The sequence below is a fragment of the Homo sapiens genome, chromosome 18 (assembly GCF_000001405.40).
Source record: "Homo sapiens chromosome 18, GRCh38.p14 Primary Assembly".
In the NCBI taxonomy this organism is placed as follows: domain Eukaryota; kingdom Metazoa; phylum Chordata; class Mammalia; order Primates; family Hominidae; genus Homo; species Homo sapiens.
In genome coordinates, this window is record NC_000018.10 from 14,611,568 (window position 1) to 14,635,380 (window position 23,813).

General features: G+C 39.1%; 1 long non-coding RNA gene and 2 pseudogenes across 5 annotated transcripts in view; 1 reads left to right on the plus strand and 2 right to left on the minus strand.

Annotated features, from left to right (window-relative positions):
- Positions 1 to 23,813, minus strand: part of LOC105372004 (uncharacterized) — an 87,301-nt gene that overhangs the window by 56,359 nt on the left and 7,129 nt on the right. For 3 of the 5 annotated variants that reach the window (XR_935172.2, XR_935174.2, XR_935171.2), the window contains exon 2: positions 712 to 858. The exons of the other annotated variants lie outside the window; for them this stretch is intronic. This is a non-coding gene — a long non-coding RNA (uncharacterized LOC105372004). The remainder of the gene's footprint in view (positions 1 to 711; positions 859 to 23,813) is intronic. 5 annotated transcript variants of the gene reach the window in all.
- On the plus strand, positions 1,643 to 2,614 carry OR4K8P (olfactory receptor family 4 subfamily K member 8 pseudogene; annotated as a pseudogene).
- Positions 16,816 to 21,735, minus strand: SNX19P3 (sorting nexin 19 pseudogene 3; annotated as a pseudogene).

Below are 23,813 nucleotides of genomic sequence, written 5' to 3' on the forward strand. Positions count from 1 at the left end.
GTATGCATGTATAGGAAAAATATAGCTTATATAGGAATCAGTACTATCAGTGGTTTCAAGCATCCACTGGAGGTCTTGGAACACATCATTTGCAAATAAGGGAGAAAATTTGTATTTTTTTGGGAGAATTGGAGATTTGAAATACAGAGGTGAGTCTAAATTTGGTTTCTGGGAGTTAAAATTATTTATCACACGTTCTGTTCTTATAAATAAACCCTCCAGTCTAACCCAAAGAGAGACTTAGCAATTTGCAGCTATGATCTAAGAAGACATTAATATCAAAAATTGCAAGTGGTTAGAAATGAGTAAAATAAAAGACATCCTCTCCCAAGACCTGGTTAAGATGTAGAGAAAGATTCTTCAAAATCAGATAATGTAATGCTCCTTTAAAATTCACATTTTATTTTTTCTTATTTACCATAAAACTTTTCTAAGTTCTAAATAGTTTCTACAAATAAAAATAACATAAAAGGAAGAAAGTTCTGATAACATAGAATATAGACTAACTGAGTAGAAAAGAAAAATCTTTTTTTTCTGGTCTGATTTCCTTAGTAATAAGTAATATAACTTATTAGTTATATTAGTATTTATAGTAAGCAATATAACTTATAAGTTTTTAAGTCACGTCACATCAAATGAAATATCAATCATAGCTCAATAAACTGTCTATGGTTAGTAACACCAATGGCTAAGTTTAAAGACGCTTCATACCTTCAGGGATTAATTGAAAGGAACCAGTGTGCTAGATTTCATGATAAAGTAGAACTCCATGAAAAGCTGAATCATAAAAGAGTTCCAATAATATTGGGGCCTTTCAGTTTTGCCAGGGTTCTGTACTTTAGTTTACATAATGTTTAACTATAGAGAAGAAATAAGATATAATCACTTAAGGCAATGATTTCTCCTGTGAGCTCTCTTACACAAATCTAATGCTGTCTCTCTTTCTATTTTAATTTTCATAATTATGCAACTTATGTATAGAAAAGAGAAAAAAGCAAAAGTTCATATTTCAGTAAGTTTTCATAAAGTAGACACTCCCATGTAACTATCAACCACATCAAGAAAGAATATTACCAGCACTTCAGAAACCCCTCCCATGACCACTTCCTGTCCCTTAAGGATAACTGCTATGAGGTTTTTCTACACCTTAGTTTTGCCATTTTTGAACTTCATTTAAATAGACCAATACAGTGTATACTCTTTTGTGTCTAACTTTTTTAGTCATCAAGTTTGTGAAATTATCTTCCTCTGTGGCAGATGTTCAAAAAATTTTTACTATCATTTACTTTAGAAAAATTGGTTTAGATTTTGTCTCTGTAGACTTTTAGACTGGATTTCTGTAGTGTCACAAAAATGCTCAAATTCATTTTTAAATTGTCGATTTTATTTCTTAAATTAATGTATTTAGATATCCCAGTTGGTTGAACATCTCCTTGACAACTCTCCCCTTTAACCCAATCTTCCACACTTAGCTGTATAACTTGTAATAACTCATGAAAACCCAGACACATACATAGGAATAGGAATTGGAATTCTGAAAAGTTTAAGTGTAACTGGAAAACCAAACCCATGCTCACTTCATTAACTGATCTCTGTTTCTCTCCTATTCATGTAGCTGAAATTAAGTCCCTTCCAAAATTCAATGAATGAGACAAATCATTCTTGGGTGACAGAATTTGTGTTGCTGGGACTGTCTAGTTCAAGGGAGCTCCAACCTTTCTTGTTTCTTATATTTTCACTACTTTATCTAGCAATTCTGTTGGGCAACTTTCTCATCATCCTCACTGTGACCTCAGATTCCCGCCTTCACACCCCCATGTACTTTCTGCTTGCAAACCTGTCATTTATAGACGTATGTGTTGCCTCTTCTGCTACCCCTAAAATGATTGCAGACTTTCTGGTTGAGCACAAGACTATTTCTTTTGATGCCCACCTGGCCCAGATTTTCTTTGTTCATCTCTTCACTGGCAGTGAAATGGTGCTCCTAGTTTCCATGGCCTATGACCGTTATGTTGCTATATGCAAACCTCCCCACTACATGACAATCATGAGCTGCTGTGTATGTGTTGTGCTCGTCCTCATTTCCTGGTTTGTGGGCTTCATCCATACCACCAGCCAGTTGGCATTCACGTTAATCTGCCATTTTGTGGTCCTAATAAGGTAGATAGTTTTTTTCTGTGACCTTCCTCTAGCGACGAAGTTAGCCTGCATAGACACTTATGTTGTCAGCCTACTAATAGTTGCAGATAGTGGCTTTCTTTCTCTGAGTTCCTTTCTCCTCTTGGTTGTCTCCTACACTGTAATACTTGTTACAGTTAGGAATCGCTCCTCTGTAAGCATGGTGAAGGCCCACTCCACATTGACTGCTCACATCACTGTGGTCACTTTATTCTTTGGATCGTGTATTTTCATCTATGTGTGGCCCTTCAGCAGTTACTCAGTTGACAAAGTCCTTGCTGTATTCTACACCATCTTCACGTCTATTTTAAACCCTGTAATCTACATGCTAAGAAACAAAGAAGTGAAGGCAGCTATGTCAAAACTGAAGAGTCGGTATCAGAAGCTTGGTCAGGTTTCTGTAGTCATAAGAAACGTTCTTTTCCTAGAAACAAAGTAAACTCATGAGACTGTTACCACTTTAGCCCTGTCTCCATACACTTACAAGTGGATTCACTGTAATCTTAAAGCAAATCAACTTGGCCTGTGGGAAAGGTCAGTTGATTGATTCGAAGCAAACTGTAATGATAATAAAAACTCATGAAATAAACTTTAGTGATTTTAAGTATTCTTTCTCCATTGTATATCTTTTAAATTTCCTACTTTGTATTCTTTATTTTAAAACTTAAGATATAGACTTTGATGACATTGAGAAAATGACATTGCCTTATAAATAACTGGTTACTATACTATTATCTCTCCCTTTGAAAACAGTACCACTCACACCAACTTTGGAGTAATGATAGGTGCATATCTCCAAGCCACAGAGATAACAGATCTATTTATAAGTATATGATACGTGATATACAGTATGTGATAGATCTAGATACGAATGCATTTTATACTGCACTATATATCTGACAGCACATGAAGACACGTCTATGAATGGTGTGAAAGATACAGTAAAATGTAAAAGGGCATGACTAACCAGCAGAAGGCATTTACTTTCAACACTTTCACAAACCCTTCGTCACAGTGGCTGCTTAATATATGTTGTTCATGAAAAACAACCACCTGAACAAATTATTTACTGGTGTGTTATGTATTGGCCTATGTTAACTTCTGTTTAATACTGATAAAATAATCTGGGGAACCAGAGATGAGTTATAATTCTCTACCACCTATCTTCATGATAGTAGGAGTCTGAATCTTAGTATAAAATATTTTCCCCCTAGATTTTTATGATCTTATCTTCTTAGAGTATTTTTATATTAGTACTTGGTAGATATTATAATTTTTTCTATGTGGACTTTTTAATTCAGTTGACGTTTCATTTTTAAATTGCCCAAGTAAGCTCTGAAAATGACAGAACCCTATTTCAAGACCTTAGATTTCATCATAAATTTACCCCTCCTTGATCACTTACAAGACCAAGACTTTTGGGGATTCACCACTACAGGCTATTTTAGGCTTTTCCTCTTTTATAGCATTCAAGGCTATTTCTATATTTTTTTACTGGGTTCTAGTCACAGTCTGGTATAATGTTAACCAATTGTTTTCCAGACTCAGTCTTTAGAGTCTCCTAAAGGGATTCAATAATTCCTATTAGTGAAGGGAAAAACATGTTTCTGAGCCAAAGCATTCCGAGTTATTTAAGAAATAACAAAATGAAAAGAAAACAAATGTGCATTAGCATTTAAGAAAAAAATTAAATACAAAAAAGTATAAGAAAAAAAGTAAGTATAAAAACGTAGTAAAACTTTTTACAATAATACAACACTTCCAAAATTTTACAATATTTTTGCATATTCTAATTTTATGCATAAAACAAATGATATCTTGTGGTACTAGTACTAATTACAACTGAGTTGACATTGAACAACAAGAAATGTAGTAATAGTTTTACATCTTTTTAAGCTTTAAAATATCTCTAGGATATATTCATTCCTTTCATTTTACATCTGATAAAAATAAGATAAAGAAGCATTAAGAATACGGTGCAATATTATAAAGCTAGAAAATAGCAGAATGGATTTCCTACGCAGGTTTTGTGGTGTTTTGTTTTTTTGGTTTCTTTGACCCAGATGGCACACTTTTTAAATGTATTACTGCTTATAGTAGTACATTTACTGTGTATTATAGTTGGAGTACAGTGTGCCTTGTCCAGAAAATATGATTCTCTGGTTATCCTCTCACACACTTTTTCCTATTCCTAGTATGCAAAAATGTCTCCGAATATTATGTTTTTCACTAAAGAGGGTACCCAAGTTCCTTGCAAAGTTACTCAAATAACAAGAGCTCAGGCTGACTGGTACAGTTTTTCTGTAAACTGGACATTAAAATAAAAGCACGATGGGTTTTTCTTAAAGCACTAACCTGTTCTTTAACAAAAATTATAAAGGCTTAAAAAGAGTCTATAAAAATCTTACCTTATGGTCAGACATTAAAATTGGATAAATATGCCTACAAGGTTTTATTAAAATTGAGTTTAACATTAATGGCACACTAATATAAAGGTGAAATTTAGCTTATCTGGTATAAAATCATACAGGAAGCATTGTCAAATATAAAATGGTGTTTGGCTTTCTTTGGTCTAAAAACTAATAAAAATAGGTGCTAAAGAGAATTTAGAAGGAAAATGGATATTGCTAGACCAGAGAGAAATGTTATCCAAGCCCCTTATAAGGGAGTTCTTGTTCCAACTGCATCAAGGGACCGATTGTGGGTCCCAAGCCATGTGTGATGCAGTCCTCAGAGTTTATGGGTGCATAGGAATTTATACCCTGGCCAAACAGGTTACAGACAGTTGCTTAGTAAAAGATTACCCTTTGGGCGAAGGAGTCCAGGCTTAAGGCCATTCCAAAGTATCCAGATTGATTACACACAGATGCCTCCAATTGGTCGTCTGAAATATTTATTAGTAATAGTAGATCACCTTACTCATTGGGTAGAAGCTATTCCCTTTTCAAGTACAACTGCTAATAATGTAGTCAAGGCATTAGTTGAAAATATTATACCCAGGTTTAGATTAATAGAAAACATTAATTCAGATAACAGGACTCATTTCACGGCACATGTCATTAAGAAATTATCCCAGGTACTGGATGTAACATGGGATTATCATACTCCCTGGCACTCATCTTCATTAGGGAAAGTAGAAAGGCCTATTACCCTGTTAAGAGTCTGAACTGCTCCCCCAAAAGACACAGGCCTATCCCCTTAAGAGATGCTTTATGGATCACCTTATCTACATTCTACTACTGATCTTCCTACATTTGAAACAAAAGATCAGTTTCTCAGAAATTATATACTTGGTTTATCTTCCATTTTATCTTCCCTCAGAACTAAAGGTCTTTTAGCACAGGTGCCACCTCTGAGTTTCCAGTACACCAACATCAGCCTGGGGACCACGTCCCCATCAAAATTTGGAGAGAAGGAAAAGCTGGAACTGGCCTGGGAAGGACCTTACCTAATGCTCCTAACTACTGAAACTGCAGTCCGAATAGCAGAAAAAGGATGGACCCGTTACACCTGAGTCAAGAAAGCGCCACCCCCTCCAGAGTCATGGGCCATAGTCCCAGGGGAAAACCCTACCAAACTAAAGCTAAGAAAAATTTAACTTCCTTTCATCTATTCTGTTACTCCTTCTTCTTTCCTCACTCTATTGCTGACCACCTAGTTATTAATGTAACCAAGTCAATTTCACCTCAAACTATTAAATTTGATGCTTGCCTTGTTACATCCTATGGAGACTTTTTAAGTCAAAGACAGCTCTCCACTTCAGAAAAGTACCTCTGTCCTTCCCGGCTCTTCTCAGACTGGACATTATTGAATTGGGATCATTTAGTCTGGGAAGATTTCAATGAGGACCCCGGCATCAGCTGGGAGTCTTGCCCCCCATAGAGCTTTTATGCTGCAGTTGGTCCAACGTTCTGTGGACCACTAAAGAGCAAGGATGGACTGCCTCAACCAGTAGTTGTAATTTCCTAAAGCCATACATTCATTTTACTAAAGGAACAGCTTCACCTAGCTGTCAGCTAAACCAGTGCAATCCAATACAGGTTATTACCCCAAACCCTCAAAGATCTTCCCCTTCTCTAAGCTGGTTCCCTTCTTTAAGCTGGTTTTTATGGTATGGGGGATGAGGTTTCAGGAACAGACCCTATCAGATACTTTGAAATATGTTTCATTGATCCCCCACCACCTACACCTTCCCCTAAGCCTTCTTCCAAAACCTCTCACAATGAAATAGTTGTTACTCCTCCATCTAATGATAGGACCAAAGTAGACGCCGTAGAAGTAAATGATTTAAAACAAACTTTAGCAATAGAGACAGGATATCAAGATGCAAATGCCTGGTTGGAATGGATCAAATATTCCGTCTGCAGGTGAAACAAAAGCAATTGTTATGCTTGAGTGCATGGCAGGCCAGAGGCCCAGATTGACCCCTTTCCACTAGGGTGGTCCTCCAGTCGACCAGGCATGGGCTGCATGGTAGCTCTTTTCCAGGATTACACAGCCTGGGGTAACAAGTCATGTCAAGTTCTCTCTCTGCTATATCCCAAAGTTCAACACTCTGCAGGTCAGCCCCTGAAGGCCATCCAGCTTCCATCTCCCCACATTAATTTCACTTCTTGTCTCTCATGACAGGGAGGAAACTTGGTGTTTCTTGGAGACCTGAAAGGATGCAATGAGCTTAAGACTTTCCAAGAGCTTACCAATCAGCAGCCCTTGTTCATCCCTGAGCAGATGTATGGTGGTATTGTGGTGGACCTTTACTGGACTCTCTGCCAAGTAACTGGAGTGGCACTTGTACTCTAGTCCAGTAGGCTATCCCTTTCACCCTGGCATTTCACCAACCAGAGAGAGGAAAAATACAACATCATAAAACAAGGGAAGCCCTTTATGTGTCTTCTGACTCTCGCATTTATTTAGATGTAATTGGGGTCCCATGAGGAGTACCAGATAAATTTAAAGCCAGAGATCAAATAGCTGCAGGATTTGAGTCAATATTTTGGTGGGTGACAATGAATAAAAACATAGATTGGATAAATTACATTTATTACAACCAACAGCAGTTTATTAACTACACTAAAGATGCTGTTAAAGGAATAGCTGAGCAATTAGGGCCTACTAGCCAGATGGCTTGGGAAAATGGAATAGCCTTAGACATAATATTAGCAGAAAGAGGAGGAGTCTGCATCATGATTAAAACTCAATGTTGTACCTTCATCGCAAACAACACCGCCCCCTGATGGAAGTACAACGAAGGCATTGCAAGGTCTAACTGCCCTGTCCAATGAGTTAGCCAAAAACTCAAGAGTGAATGACCCCTTCACAGGGTGGCTAGAAAAACGGCTCATTAAATGGAAAGGTATCATAGCCTCAATTCTTACTTCTCTTGCAGCTGTAGTAGGTGTACTCATTCTTGTCCAGTGTTGTGTCATACCATGCATCTATAGACTAGTGCAAAGACTTATAGATGCAGCATTTACTAAAACCTCCCTTAGCTCTCCTTCACCTTATTCAGATCAGCTTTTTCTTTTAGAGGATTAAGTTGAGCAGCAAAGCCAAGATATGTTAAAAAAAGTTTGAAGAGGAAATACTATGAAAATTGAAAGGGAGAAAATTGTAGGATATCATAAATTCCTCCTCAAAAGTTTTAGCCTGTAAATTGTTAAATACTATGAGTTCTGAGATCCTCTCCAAAGAACCAATGTATCAGTATGTTCGGCTCCCCGTTCTTTGCTCTTCATTTTAGAGTTGAATTTCCTTGTTCTTTATGTCTCCTTGCCCCTAGTTTCAGTAAACAACCTCCTCCTACCCTCTGTCACCTGCTCTGATCTTAGTCACCCTTGTTCACCTGCTCTGATCTTGGTCATCCTTGGTCACCTGCTCTGTTCTTAGTCATCCTGAGTCACCTTTTCTGTAACTGTCCTTCCCACCAAACTACTCATCCTGCCACTCTGGCTCATACCTCTGTTCTCTTTAAAATAGCCAATCTGAATTAGCTTAGATGTGCGGTCTGACCCTAGCCAATAGGGGAATGACGCAGCAGTAGGGGTGGTGAGGGATAAGAACCCCTTCCCCTCCCTTGTTCGGGTGTGCTCTCACCGTTGCTCCATCCATGAGACACACGCTTCTATAGAAGTAAAATTGCCTTGCTGAGAAAATTCATGTTCGAGTGCTATTTCTTTTGCGGCACCAAAAATTTATTTCCAACACTCTCTTCTAGCTATTTTGTAATATACAGGCTACCATGCATATGTGAATAGAATAGGAGATAATTGATCATATAGAGCAGAGATTGGCAAATTTCTTCTGTAACAGGCCAGATATTAAATATTTAGACTTTATGAGGTGCATATAGTCTCTGTTGCATATTGTTCCTTACTGTTGCATTTTTTTCTTTTTTACATCCCTTCAAAAATATAAAAACACTTCTTAGCTTGTGGGCCATACATAAACAGACTATGAGTGAGATTTGGCCCATGGAGCCATAATTTGCCAACCCTGGCTACAGATAATCAATTATAGTAGGGGACACAGAAAGCAAGTAAACAAGCAAACAAACAATAAGTAAGTGCTAAACTAACAAGAAAACATCACTACCTATAACATATAAATCACTCCCAAGGGATCCCTTGTAATACTATGGAGATCCTGTCCACTCTCCTCCCCCCAGAGAACCACTGGCCTACTTTTTGTCTCTTTAGATTAGTTTGAATTTTGTAGAGTTTTAGAAAATTGAAGTCATACACTAAGAACTAATTTTTTAATCTGTTTTTCACTCTGTCTAATCATTTTTTCAATTCATACATGGTCATTACAGGAAAGGTGTCTGGATCCAGACTCCAAGAGAGGGTTCTTGGATCTCATGCAAGAGAGAATTCAGAGTGAGTACACAGAGTAAAGAGAAAGCAAGTTTATTAATAAAGTAGAGGAATAAAAGAATGGGTACTCCATAGACAGAGTCGTCCCTACGGATGCTGGTTGCCCATTTTTTATGGTTATTTCTTGAGTATATGCTAAACAAGGAGTGGATTATTCATGCCTCCCCTTTTTAGACCATATAAGGTAACCTCCTGATGTTGCCATGGCATTTGTAAAGTGTCATGGCGCTGGCAGAAGTGTAGTAGTGAGGACAACCAGAGGTCACTCTTGTCACCATCTTGATTTTAGTGGGTTTTGGCTGACTTCTTTGCTGCAACCTGTTTCATCAGGGACTTGTATCTTGTGCCGACTTCCTATCTCATCCTGTGACTTAGAATGCCTTAACCTTCTAGAAATGCAGTCCAGTAGATCTCAGCCTTATTTTACCTAGCTCCTGTTTAAGATGGAGTTGCTCTGGTTCAAACACCTCTGACATTTCCCCCTCACTTTTATAAGAGAATCCTTAATACCAAGGGCTGCAAAGGGATGAAGATCCATCTTCTGAAACTTCTTCAGGCTGAATAGGGGTAATGATATTCCTGCCTAATTATTAGGGTCCCCTGTATTTGGGGTAGAGAGGAGCTCAGTCAGAAAGCATCAGTATGGTGAAGGCCATTCCTAACTCTGAGTTCTGACAAAAGGTGATATCTGGGAGATTATTAGTAAGTGTTTAATTTAAGGAAACATTGAATAAGTTTATCCTATGTTCCTACACAGAGAGTACAACAGCAATATATTCCACAAGAGTAGAGCAAAATAAGTAAAAATATCTGAAGTAAACTAAATTAGAAGGCTTTCCGTGAGCTGGGCAGTTGTTGGAACCAAGCTAATATGAGATTACTAGCCAATTCCAATATGTGCCCAGAATTAGAAATATTGATTCAGATTTTTACATTATCCATCCCTTGTTTCTTCTGAACAGCAGTCAGAGATCACTGGTTGGCTTAGAAGGATTCTTGTTAAAGGCTGGCCAAGAACTTAGCTATCAAAGGTTGGCAGTAAAAAAACGAATTTGATTTCAAGGTTGCAGGGATTCTTACCAAACTGACTTAACAGGATTTTTCACTAAAACCTGGCTAGGTAAGTCAAGAGAGTAGGGTGTTGTGTCAAAAGACAACAGGGGTGGCTATACTAATATCAGAAAAATTAGGATTTAAATAAAAATGTTTACAAGAGACATAAAAGGACATTATATACTGATGAAGGGTTAAATATAGTAGGAAGATATAACAATCATAAACGCTTACAAACCATCAAAATATTTGAAGCAAAAACTGACATAATGGAAGGGAGAAATAAGCAATTCTACAATAACAGTTTAAGACTTCAATACCCTACTTTCAATATGGATAAAACAAGCAGACAGAAGATAGGTAAGGAAAATAGAGGACTTAGAATAAACCAAATTGTTCTAACATATACAGAATATTTACCCAACAACAGCATACACATCCTTCTCAAGTGTATATGGGATATTTTCCAAGACAGAAAATATGTTAGGCCCAAATTAGGTCCCAGGAGAATTAAAAGATAGCCATCACACAAAATATCTTTTCTGAACACAATGAATTAAAGTGAGAAATCAATAACAGAAGTAAAACTGGAAAACTGACAAAATCGTGGAAATTAAACACACTCTTACACCATCAGTTGATTAAAGAAGAAACCACAGTAGAAATTAGAAAATATTTACAGACTAATGAAAATGACAACACAGCATACCAAAACTAATGGGATACAGCAAAAGCAGTACTAAGGAGAAAATTTATAGTGATAAATGTATACATTCTGAAAACAAAGTTTTTTTTTTTTTTTCAAGCTGACTGGGGAAATTACATGCCAGCTCTTCTCAGAAAGATCAAAGTTACCAGTGAATGAACAAGTTTTGAATGGAAAATATAGAGAAGTGAGGACCTGTTGGAGTAACCACGCGAAGAAGTTGAAGCCCAGAAGAAGAATGCAGCAAGACTCTGGCTGATATCAACCTCTGAGCAACACAGAGCTCAGCCAAAATGGTAGGTAGAAGTTGCTTCTTTCTACACCCCTCTGACCACCTGCCGAGTGCTAAACGGTTGGGGAGCCCCTTTGCCCTTGCTAGCCAGGGCAACACAATCAGTGATGATTAGAGAATTTCCTGAGAACACAGAACCAGTGGCCAGCTCGCACAGCCATACCCACTCTCCCCTTGGACCTGAACTGAGATGGTGGGCACCATACTGGTTGTGCACCAGTGTGTCACTTTCCTTCCCAAGGATCCTCTGCCCTTAAGTCATTGCACCACCAGACCACCTGCAAATATACTCCACAACCTGCTCTGACTTTGGCAAGCACAGGGGACCAGTGGGTGCCTGGGGTATTGTAGGTTCTCTGGAGATCTTACTCTCAGCATGGAGCCACCCTTTAAGGAGCTGGGGAGCACAGCCTGCGAAAGTACTCCCTGGGACAAACGAAATACAGATGTGGCACCAACTGAGGAATGAGACAGCATCAATATCCAGGAATAATTATGAAGAAGAGGATCGTCTCCCACCTTTCATCCACCGTACACTGTTATGAATGCAGTAGCAGTTCTTCCTGCAAGAGCTGGTGAGTGTGCACTGTAAGAAAGTGATTCTTTGTGCTTTCAGCAGGGGTGGTGGATCCATCCCTGCTGAAAATGAGACTGTGCCTGCTCTGGCTTTCACAAGGGGTGGGGTCCAACTCCCCCTTCCAACACAGAGTGGCAGCACCCTGACAACAGAGGATAGACTACAAAGTTGTCTGTCCTGTACTGGAGGAAGAGGTTCTACCCTGACCCTCGTTATAGTGGTAGCCATCAGAGAGGCAGATCCATGGCCCACAAAGGCACTGTGCTGGGAACTAAAGGATGAAGATTTTACAAACAAGGTCATGAGACCTGTGACAGGGATATGATAGGGAAGCAGACTGCATTTCTTCTAGTTCAGGATGAAGAGCTGGTGCACCCCTCCATCTCTTTCCTGGAGGCTTCAGGGCACTCCATCATGATCTCTTCCCACCATGCTCATCAGTGCAAATTCATCCAATGGGCAGCAGCTTACCTGCCATATCATACTCCTAAGTGCTATATACTGGACTACAGCCTGAAATGCACCATCAAATAAAAAATACATGGCTATACCAAACAATATCTGATAAAGCCACCACACAAAACGTATCCACATATCCACAACCAACATGTAGAGCCTTGTCGCCCACCAAAAGCATTCAGAAACTAAGCCAAAATACATAACATCCACCACAGTTACACCCTCAAGGGAAAAAAAATAAAGAGCCCCATCCAAACAATACAAATTCAAAAATAAGAAACAACACTTTCCTTAGATGAGAAAAATCAGCATAAGAACTCCAGCAGTACAAAAAATCACAGTGTTTCAACATCTCCAAAGGATTGCACTAGCTCTTTAGCACTGAAACCTAGCCAGATTGAAATGTCTGAAATGACAAATTAAAAATTTCTAAGTATGGGTTGTAAGGAAACTCAATATTCAAGAGGATGTTGAAATCCAATAGAAAAAAAAACAGGAAAATGATTCAGGATATGAAAGATGACATAGGTATATTAATGAAAACCCAAACAGAACTTCTGAAATTGAAAAATTTACTACAGGAATTTCAAAATACAATCAGAAGACTTAATTGCAGACTAGACAAGCAGAATAGAGAATGCCAGAGCTCAAAGACCACGTTTCAAATTAACTCAGTCAGACAAAAAGAGAGGGAAAGAATTTAAAAAATGAACAAAGTCTTCAAGAAATATTCTATGATATTATGTTAAACAACAAAAACCTATGACTTACTGGCATTCCTGAGAAAGAAGAAGAAAGAGTAAGCAAATTGGAAAACATATTTCAGGAAATAATTAAATAAAATTTCCCCAATCTTGTTAGAGACATTGCCATCCAGATATATGAAATTAAGAAAACTACTGAGAGATACTAAACAATATGACCATTCCCAAGGCAAATAGTCATCAGACTATTCATGATTAATGTGAAATAAAAAAAAATCTCAAAGGAAGCTAGAGAAAAGGGCCAAATTACCCATAAAGGGAATACCATCAGACTAATGGTGGACATCTCAGCAGAAACCTTATAAGCCAGAAGAGATTGGGGGTCTATTTTTAGCATTTTGAAAGAAAACATAAATGCCAACAAAGAATTATACATCCCACCAAACTAAGCTTTATAAACAAAGAAGAACTAATGTCTTTTCTAGACAAGCAAATGCTAAGGGAATTTGTTACCACCAAATCAGTCCTACGAAAATTTTTAAAAGAGTTCTAAAAATGGAAACGAAAGAATGATACTTGTTATCATAAAAGCACACATAAATATAAAGCTAACAGACCCTATAAAGCAACTACACAATCAAGATTACAAAGAAACTACCTAACGACACTACAACAGAACAAACTCTTACATATAAATATTAACCTTGAATGTAAACAGCTTAATTGCTCCATTTAAAAGATAGAGTGGCAAATTGGAAAGAAAACAAAATACAACCTTCTGTTGCCTTCAAAAGACCCATCACACATGTAACGACACCAATAGGCTCAAAGTAAAGTGATCCACCCACCTCAGTCTCTCAAAGTGCTGGGATTACAGGCGTGAGCCACTAAGCCCGGCCTTAACCCTAATTCTTAAAGTATGTGCACTGAGGATTTTCAAATAACGTTTGGACAAATACAAAAATACTGTTATAATTTCTTGTATCCTGGTTGCATCATTCATTATGTTATGTAAGAATTTCCTTTTTCTCTGAGATGAAATCGCTTTCTGCTACTAATACTTTCTATGTGAACATAAAATTAGCATTAACTCTTCATTGTTTTATTCCTTGAATAACTACTCTCAATGTATTAGTAGAGCTTACAAAAAACATAGATATTCAAGTCACCAGTTATGCAACTTTTTTTCACATCTCTAAAATATTGTAATGGACAGATGTATGTATGTATGTATGTATGTATGTATGTATGTATGTATGTATGCATTTGAGACAGAGTCTCGTTCTGTTGCCCAGGCTGGAGTGCAATGGCACAATCTCTGTACACTGCAAACTCTGCATCCCAGGCTCAAGCGATTCTCCTGCCCCAGCCTCCAGAGTAGCTGGGATTACAGGCACAGGCCACAGTGCCCAGCTAATTTTTGTATTTTTAGTAGAGATGGGATTTCATCATGTTGCCCAGGCTGGTCTTGAACTGTTGACCTCAGTTGATCCACCTGCCCCGGCCTCCCAAAGTGCTGGGATTACAGGTGTGTGCCACCATGCCTGGTCCGATTAACTCTTTCTTATTGGTATATTAGGCTTTTCTTATTGATGTGAACACACTCAATATTATACAAAATAAGTTATCATTCAAACTTGTGATGGTATTTTTTAATTACAGCAAAAATATACACATAAAATTGACTATCGTAATCATGTTAAGTGTAGATATCATAAGTATTAACTATATTCACATTTCTGTGCAACAGAGCTGCAGATATTTTCCATCTCACAAAACTGTAACTCTATAGCCATCAAGTAACAACTCCCCATTTCCTACCTGTTGTGGTGGTTTTAAATATAATGCAATATATACTAGCTTAAAATAGAAAAAAAAGGAATCCATGAAAATATTAAATGCATAGCACAAAAAATGAATAACAGTGTAACTTTGGTTATAACTTTAAATGAGAGAACCCAAAGTAAAATAATGGTATAAATATCATATAAAATGCACAATTTATACCTAAATTTTAAAAAATTTAATATTAACAAAAATAAATGTAATATACTACACAAATAGGTATTCAATAAAACTAAAGTTAAATTACTTTTTAAAACCATGTTATACTATGGATAAATCCTATTAATTTTTAAATATTTAGGAAAGAAAACAAAGTACATCTCTTCTTTAAAAAGTTTGACTCCAATTTTTAACAAACAGGTGTTTTTGGTAACCAGTTTATTTCCTTAGTGAAATTTTGAAGGCACAGAAAGAAGTAATATCTATTACATTGTCAAAAACAACAGTACCTGGAAGATTTAGAGGCAAAAATGAAGCCTGAGAATAGCAGGACATAGACATATTTCATAACATAGACTCATAGCAGAATGATGGTTATGTTGGTTCATCAGGGAAGAAAACACTAAACATCGCTTGCAAATCCACCCAATATACGATATCTTGTGACTTTAACAAGTTAGCCATGCAGAACCATGAGGCAAATGCAAAAACAAATAAATACACTAAAATAAATCCATTTTCTAGAAAAAAAATTAAAGTGAATTTTCTAGATTCACTAAAGAATTCAGTATTGGCTTATTATGTCTTCATTTTATTTTATACTGGAACGTGTCTAATTTTATGCTAAATTTATGCTGTAAGGACACCTACTCTGGAAAGGTTAAGAGGACACACAGTGGGTAGTGGACCATACTCTATTAAAAAAGAGCATATTTTGACACATGACTTTTGTGCCTCTACATTTTTAACTAAGGATAAAGAACCTGATGATTAATTAAATGATTTTTCAGTTGCTCATCAATGCCATCAGATGCCTTGAGTATACTGATGGGGGGGATGGCATTTGGAAGAAAAGGAGGAGACCTGAATAATACTTCAGAAGAAGTCTATTTCCACATCTTATTTTCCCTATCTCTGCAGCTCTGAATTTAATTATCTGTATTGTGAATCTGGGTGAACCACCTCAGAAGACATCAGGCAACCGGATGACTGCACTTTAGATTTCATGCTAGTGATTCTTATCCTCTCTCCACCCCGACACTTTGATACTTCCTTGAAATTAGATTACATAGGCGATAGAAACAAAGAATGCAGCTGTCATCATGACTCTTTCTCAGGGGCCACCGCATCTGTGTTCATGATGTGATTACTGTGCCACCTGCCTCCCTCTTCTTAAGGCCCTTTTTTATTCCTGGAGATGTGCTTACAACGAGATAGCTACAAACATATCATCTGCTTGCCCTGCCAGTTATAGCAATTATGAAAATAAATTTGCAGCATCATATATAGCCTGAATATTCTCAAAAGATGTTCCTAACAGTTCTAATCACAAAAAAAGTTTTCCATAGAATAGCTGTACCTACATGCTCTCTGCTTATGCAATCTTATGTTTTAATTAATCTTAAAGCAAAACTTTTCCTAAAATTTCAGAACTGAAGTCTTTTGTCATTATATGAAGAAAGACACAGTATCTAATATTGTGAACTTCTCTATTTTAAGAAGTTTTCAGACATCAAGTCTGCATAATAAAATTAATTTAACAATTTGGAATATAATTTTATAAATAAAAAAAGCTTTAAACTATATGTTACTAACACGTTTTTCTTCAAGTGTGGTTGCCCTTGCAACTTTTTGGTAGTTCAATGAAAACCACTACTTGAGAGAAAACTGAAATAGACTAGGACATAGAAGATAGATAAACAGAGAAAGAAAAGGTAAATTAACTATTTGTGCCACATGGCAAAGAAAGTTTACAGTATGTAGTCATTAATGTACTTGGTTATAATTATATAACCAACAATGAATAATTTTAAGTGCGATTTAGAATTCAAAACGTTTTATACTTGATATACATTTCTGAAAGAAACATGAAATCTACCGAATGAGGGAGATACTTTATATGTGTAATTACTTACACATGGAGAAAAGTTTTACAATAATTTTGATTATAAACTGTAATCAAGAGATTCAGTAAGAGTAGCATTTTTTTCTTCCACAAACCACTTTAATTGTGTGCTCACCACCTACTTCAGAATCTAAGAGAACTCTGACACCTGTTTTTGGCACCCCATTGCCTTCTCATCAGTCTAACTCCAAGACCTTCCTCCAAGTGGTAGGCTCTGGTAATTCAGCGAAAGCAAGGCACTAACAGGCAAGTGTGAAGCCAAATGGCTCCGAGTAACATCCCTGACACCTTTTTGCCAGCTATTCACATGTATTTAATATATACCACTTCCCTGTGACTGTCTGCATCCTCTTCTACCACCAATTCCTCCTGATTTATCCTTCTCCTCCAGCAATTCCTAATTTCTTTGCCTTTCTAATAGATGTGGCCTAACAGAACACCTTTGCTGGAGTTCTTTAAAGGCTAATTATAACCATAAGGAACAGGAAATAAGAAGCTATTCCTTGTAAGTTTGCTAATCTTATCTGTTCAGAGCAATAAAAGTTCCCCATCAAAGACTTATGAAGGGAGATTTCATTCCCCCAGCTTGCTATTCCTACTCTTTTTGCATTCTTAAGACAGGAGGCAAGTGCTTTACCTTTTCCTCGGAAAAGCTGAGGCTGAATATGCAAGTTGTCATGTAAATTTGCTGAAGATAATGAGAGGGTCACAAATTCAAAAACCCAGTTGCTCTAGGGCAGGGGGTTGGGAGGAGAGCCAATAAATAAAATGTGTGGTATAAATGCCTTTCAGGAAAGGGTGTGAAGGGTGCGGTGGATTTACCAGAAGCTTTTGCAATCAGCTTTGAAGTCTTCTAGAAAGGAAAAGTGTAGCCTTCCAGGGAAGCAGCCTGATGACATCTTCCATAAGGCTGATGTGTTGGGAAATAGCAACACATGAGCAAGAAGTCCCTTGAAAAATTTTCCTCCCTCCTTCTTCTTCTGGAACTGTTGGGAAACTAGGTAAGACCCAGGAGTCTGGTTTTTGAGAATGGCCCGGAATGAATTTTTAGTTTCCGGGTAGGAACAGAGAGCTCAGAAGGTTGTTCTTTCCTCCAAGGAAATCTGGCCATTGCTTTTTTCCTGTTCTATCCAGAGCTTGTGTGCTGGTGGATTAAATACATCTGTGCACAGGGCCAGGGTTCTGGCAAACAATCTCAGGGAGGACGGCAAAAGGAGAAGCAAAAGGGGATTGTTCCTCTACCTCACATCTTCTTTTCCCAAAGGAAACAGAATCTACTCACCAACAACAATCCCAACACCACAAAAGGGACATGGAAATAAATGTGCATGCAACTGGGACACATACCCTGTGTCACCTGCTACAAATGGAGAAGTGGGAGAGAATTGAGCCACTGGGAGCCTAGGCCTTCTGAGCTGTAGCTTACTTCCAGAGGATGCAGGCTTCCTCACTGGTCTCTGGGTGGCTGAGTAACTCTACTTCCCTGACCTGGGAAGGATGCGGGAATAACCAGCTATGAGGAGACACCCATCCTCTTAGGGCTGCCTGGGGTATCTTAAGCAGAGGTGGTAGCAGCGGACTCCTCAACAGAGGCACTGAGATCCAAGAATTCCAGGATAATGTCCCCAAGGCAGTAAATCAAATGCCTGTTGATGAGTGGTTGTTGTAGTGACTCCAAGACTAAACACTCAGCTGGCATTTGTTCACCCCAAGAATTTCTACTATGAGATCTGGGAAGACTCCCATTAGGCTCTGCAAAGCCTGTTTCTCAGCAGCCAGTTTCTGCTCCTGGGTCCTTACAGGCCGTGGAAACTTAGGCAAAACTCCACCAGGCCAGATGGACTCCTGAAGAAGCCAGAGGTACTGCACCCAGCACTGTGGACTTGTTAAATTAGCTACCTGCACCTCTAGCCACCTTTGAACTAGGGTACCAAAGATAAGACGAAGAAACTTCTGCATGTTTTCAGTACACAGCCATTTCCACTGTTCTGTTAGTAGCAAGAGAAGCAGATTCAGGGCTGTGTCAGCTAACTCTGTCTCTGTTCCTGAATCGCTGTTGCTGGGATCTTGGGCTGGCACAGCTGCATCTGACAAGCAACTGTCCACATGTCCTTTGGGAAGTTGTTCAGGATCTTTTTCTGGGGCTTCTTTTGGCTGCATCTCCAGTAACTTTGTCTGTTTTTCAATAAAAGATTCCATCCCAGACATGGATAGGGTCTTGGACTCCACATTGCCTTCCTGGAGACAATAAAGAATCTTGTCTTGTGCTTCAGTCACACTTAGTGCTGGAGAAATTTTACTGGATGAGAACCTCAGCCTGGACTTCCTAGCCTTCTTGCCTTCTGTTTGGGACTTGCTTTCAGTCTCGGCCTCACTCAGCTCCTCTGTGGGGCCCTGGGATTCAGAGCAAGGAAATGCTGTCTTCAAGTTGTCCACAATGGCACTCACCACCATCTTCTCTATTCTAGAGACCATAAATGGTTTCTTGACAAAGGAAACATGAGCATCTGTGTTCACAGCAAGAAACTCCTGCACCTCCTCACTGTTAGCGATCTCTGGAATGGCACACAATTGCTTCAGGAATTATTACAGGAGGCTCTTTCGGGCTTCTACTCTGTCACTGTCTATGTTTTCCAAATGGAAGATCTGGAAAGAGCTTTTTAGAACCCTTCACATTTTTAATGAACTTTCATAGATCTGGTTTCTTCTCCTGATGGCCTGCAGATTCAAGAACTCCCAATGGCGGTGATTCACAGTGTGGTAGGCCAGCTGCTGCAGGCTGCTGTTTTCACCGTCAAGGGATGTCTCACACTTCACAGTATAGCGTGTGCATGGGTACAATCCGGTGCCACTGTGCTCTCGGGCTGTAATGGTGCCAGTGATATGAAGGTTCTGGATGATAACTGGGCCATCTGGACTGCTTAGGGGCTCAAAGCTGAAGGTGGCTGAGCTGAGAGGACCAGGTGAAGAGGAGGAAAGCAGAACTGGTGGCAGACTAGGATCAAGGTAGGTCACATCATTGGTGAGATCCTTCTCTAAGCATGAGGGCCGTGAGGAGCAGGTCTTTTCCAGCCCCTCCATCAAAGCTGTAACAGAGGTGGTAACTTCTCCTTGTTCTATCTCCTTGTCTGCTATGTCAATCTGTATCTCTGGGCAGAAGTTCAGTGTGGAGACAGGCAAGACTGTCTCTGTTTCTGTCCCTGGACCCTCAGCCTCTACTCCTTCAGATCCCTCACCACCTTTGGGTTCCAGAGCCTGGGAACCCTCTAGGGCACACAGGGCATCCTGAATCCTGTCAGACAGAAAGTGGCCTGGAGTCATGAGCATGATGGTTTCTTAGCCTACTTCAGACAGCGGAGACTCCAGCTCTGAGTCTCCACATAAGAACAGGAGGCCTCAAGTATTTGGCTATAGGAAATGAGATGAGTTGTTTCCTACGTTTCTTTTTTCAGACATTCCACCCAAATCTCCCTCTACAGCTTCGTGGCCACCTTCAACCTCTGAGGAGGGGCCTGCAGGAATCTCTGGCTCACTGTTTATCTAGGAACCCTGGGGCTGCTACTGGAGAAGGAGCCCTCCCTTCTGGAAGCTGCTGTACCTCAGCAATAAGTGGCAGAGACGTGGGCACTGAGGGCTGTTCAGGGCCACTGGCTGGGCAGGGTGTTGGATCTCTGGCCTTGGAAAAGATACCCATGAGGACAAGGTGGATCCAGTCAGGATCTGACAGCCTGCTGATCAGTGGTAAGACTACACTGCATATGATGAGTTCAACCACTACATGGCATCCAGTATGAGTCTCCAAGTGGGACTTGGGCACCAGCCCTTGAAGCAACAAATTCACAATACCACATGTATAGATGACTTCAGCACTGGGGCTGTGCACAGCAGGATGTGGGGCAGTAGCCCAGCAGTAAGCCTCCCAGAGGTGGGAAGGCTCAACTGGACCATTCTTCCCTGTAGTGGCCTCCTTTGCCTGAATGTAGCTCTGCAGGTGAAAAACGACAGAGAGTAAGAACACTCTGAGCAAGAGCATGATGGTCCATCATGCTCATCCTCCTCTGAAGCTCCTGGACCAACTCTTTCATGGCTGCCTCCATTTCCTCTGCAAAGGCTGGCTCCTGGCTCTCAGAACGGTACCAGGATAATATAAAATCTCAAATAATCACATCTGGATGGTGCAGTTGATCTCCTGTTCCAGTTGTCTTTCTGTCTCAGGGAATAGAGGACAGGTGGCCAATGGGATGAAGCCTTCCAGGAGCAGTGGACTTGAAGCCACTCCAGAGACACTGGAGCCCAGCCATCCTCCCAGCACCACTAGCAATGCAGACAGAAGGCACAGCAGCCACATGCTGACCAGAAGGTGTATGACCAGGAGCCAGCAAGCAAGACCCCCACAGCCATCACCTTCCGCCTACTCAACAGGTTATTGAGGTGACAGCTGGATCCAGCTGGAGTCTCCTGGAACAATGGCACTGTTTCTGTCTTCATGGCTGAACGGACAAGGTGGCTTCCCCAGATGACAGCCTCAAGATTTTACTGCAGAGTTAGGGAAGGGGGGAATGAACTGTGTCCCCAATACAGGGTGATCTGGGTGCTGTTCAGGGAACTGACACTCCAGGCCCTCTAAGTCCTACAGGCACTGCAAAGCAACAGCAGCAGCTCTGCATTTGCCCATGGCTACCACCCACAGAGTCCTCGAACTCGCCCCTTCCAGTCGAGGTGTGGCTTTGGAGGAAAACTCTGCAGCCTTGATACTGCCCCAGGCAGAAGGCCTCTTCGCAGCCCTGGGGCCCGCAGAGGGCGGCGGCTGGCCAGGACTGGGTCACACGCTGCCGGGAACCATGTGCCCACACTCAGCCCCGACCTGAAGTGGGCTCATCGGGGTCATCTCCGCTGGCCTCGGCCTGCTGCTCCTGCAGACCTGGGTGACTGCACTCGCAGCCCTGCCTGTGTTAGGGCTGCCCGCCTGCCAGCCACCGGTGACCAACAGTAGCTTTTTATAACTTAAATTTTCTATATTTTCCTTGCATATATTTTTGACTTTGATCATGTATTTTATTTAACCTGCTAACAGAATGTACCTACAGTAAGATTACAATAAAAATTACCATGGTCCATGACAAATTTACTTGTAAGTGCAGTGGGAAAAAAAGTTTAATAAAAACAATAGAGATATACAATATGTGGCTTTTCACACAGTCTTTTGTCTCCCATATTATTCCTATCATTTATTCTATATTTCTAAGGTTAAGTAATGTTAAGATCAGGTACAAGCGTTGTAATGTGCTTTTAATTATGATATATAAATGTATCCCATGACAATTACATTATTTCAAGCTATGTACAATTTTAATAATAATTTTATACACGTTGCTTTGAAAATGAGAGCGCATTTGAATATAATCAATAATCACAAAAATATTTATCAGTGCAAATATTCTCAGCAAGATTTGAATTGTTGGTAAATTCAAAACAAATAGAATTAAATAGATGCTAGAGGAATTAGGAGAATGCAATAAAACAAGCAAAATTTTGTATGATTTTCATTTAGTTTATGTTAAGATGTTTTGAATTCAGATTAATCACATACCATGATATAATGTTTTTGGTTTTGTTTTTTTGAGACAGAGTCTTGCTCTGTTGCCCAGGCTGGAGTCAGTAATATGATCTCAGCTCACTGCAACCCCTGCCTCCCAGGTTCAAATGATTCCGGTGCCTCAACATCCCAAGTAACTGGTATTACAGGGGGGTGCCACCGTGCCTAGTTTTTTTTTTTTTTTTTTTTTTTAGTCAAGACAGGTGTTTGCCATGTTGGCCAGGCTGGCCTGGAACTCTTGGCCTCAAGTGATCCACCCACGTCAATTTCCCAAAGGGCTGAGATTACAGGCATGAGCCATGGTGCCTGGCCCTGATATAATGTTTGAAAGTAATGGGTGAATAGTACATTTGAGATACTAGAGACCTATTTGGAACATTAAGTGAATGTATCTTACTCTCTTCTTTCTTTTAAGAATGTATTCTTTACCATTCTATGCAATAGCTAACATACGTGCATATGTTCTTGGGCTGTCTACATGATATACAAATATTTGGATACATACAGTAACATAAACCACTCATCTAAAAGCTTTTCAACCTGACACATAAACTCGGGTTATTTGAAAATGGAATGGTAAGTGTTACTGAACAGCTTTTACTATGGTTCACGTTTGGTAGTATATGCTAATATACTAAAAACAAAACAAACACAAAAAATACCTTGATTTTATAATCTAACTTCTGATGTCTAAATTAATCAATAAGATAATTTTTCTATTTTAACTAACTGTATTATATTTTATTTTGATTCTGTGTAATTTCACAATGGATTAAATATTAGCTGATGCTCATCAGAGGTAAACTAGTGAATTATTATCCCATTAAGATAAATTTTGTTTCTGCTAAAGTAACATCTTATTTTAAATGGAGGAATTTACTAAATCAAGTGCTAAGATTTTATTTCTGCTAGTAAATGAAAGACATATGTAAAATTCAAATACATTCCATTACTCAAACTATTCTTTGTAATCATGAGAATATAGACAGCATATTTTACACAGAGCATACATACAAAGCCTTATCTTCATCGAATTGCAAGTAAAATATAGGTATGTAAATATATATACATAATTTAGATATTAAATGACAGAATTTACTTATTTACCTGTGCATGACAGAATTTGATTCTATTATTCCAGGTAGAGTAACTGGCTGAAAATGGGACATGAAGTAAACTAATAGTCTTAAAAGTGACTACATCCAGTGAATTCATTTTAACATCTCCAAGCAAGGCAAGACCACCTTCTTGAGATAAGGAATGAGGGATTACTTATTTTGGCCAAGTTGGCTCAATGATCTGGGGAACCAAAAACTGTATGTACATGGATAGTTGTTTTGTTCCCCCCACAAAAAAATTGGGGAACCCATTATTTCCCAATTCACGCTTTTATTTTCATGTAAGAGAACAGTTGATGCTCCAGAATCTAAAATTTTAATTAACCAAATACAATGTTCCTAAAGATA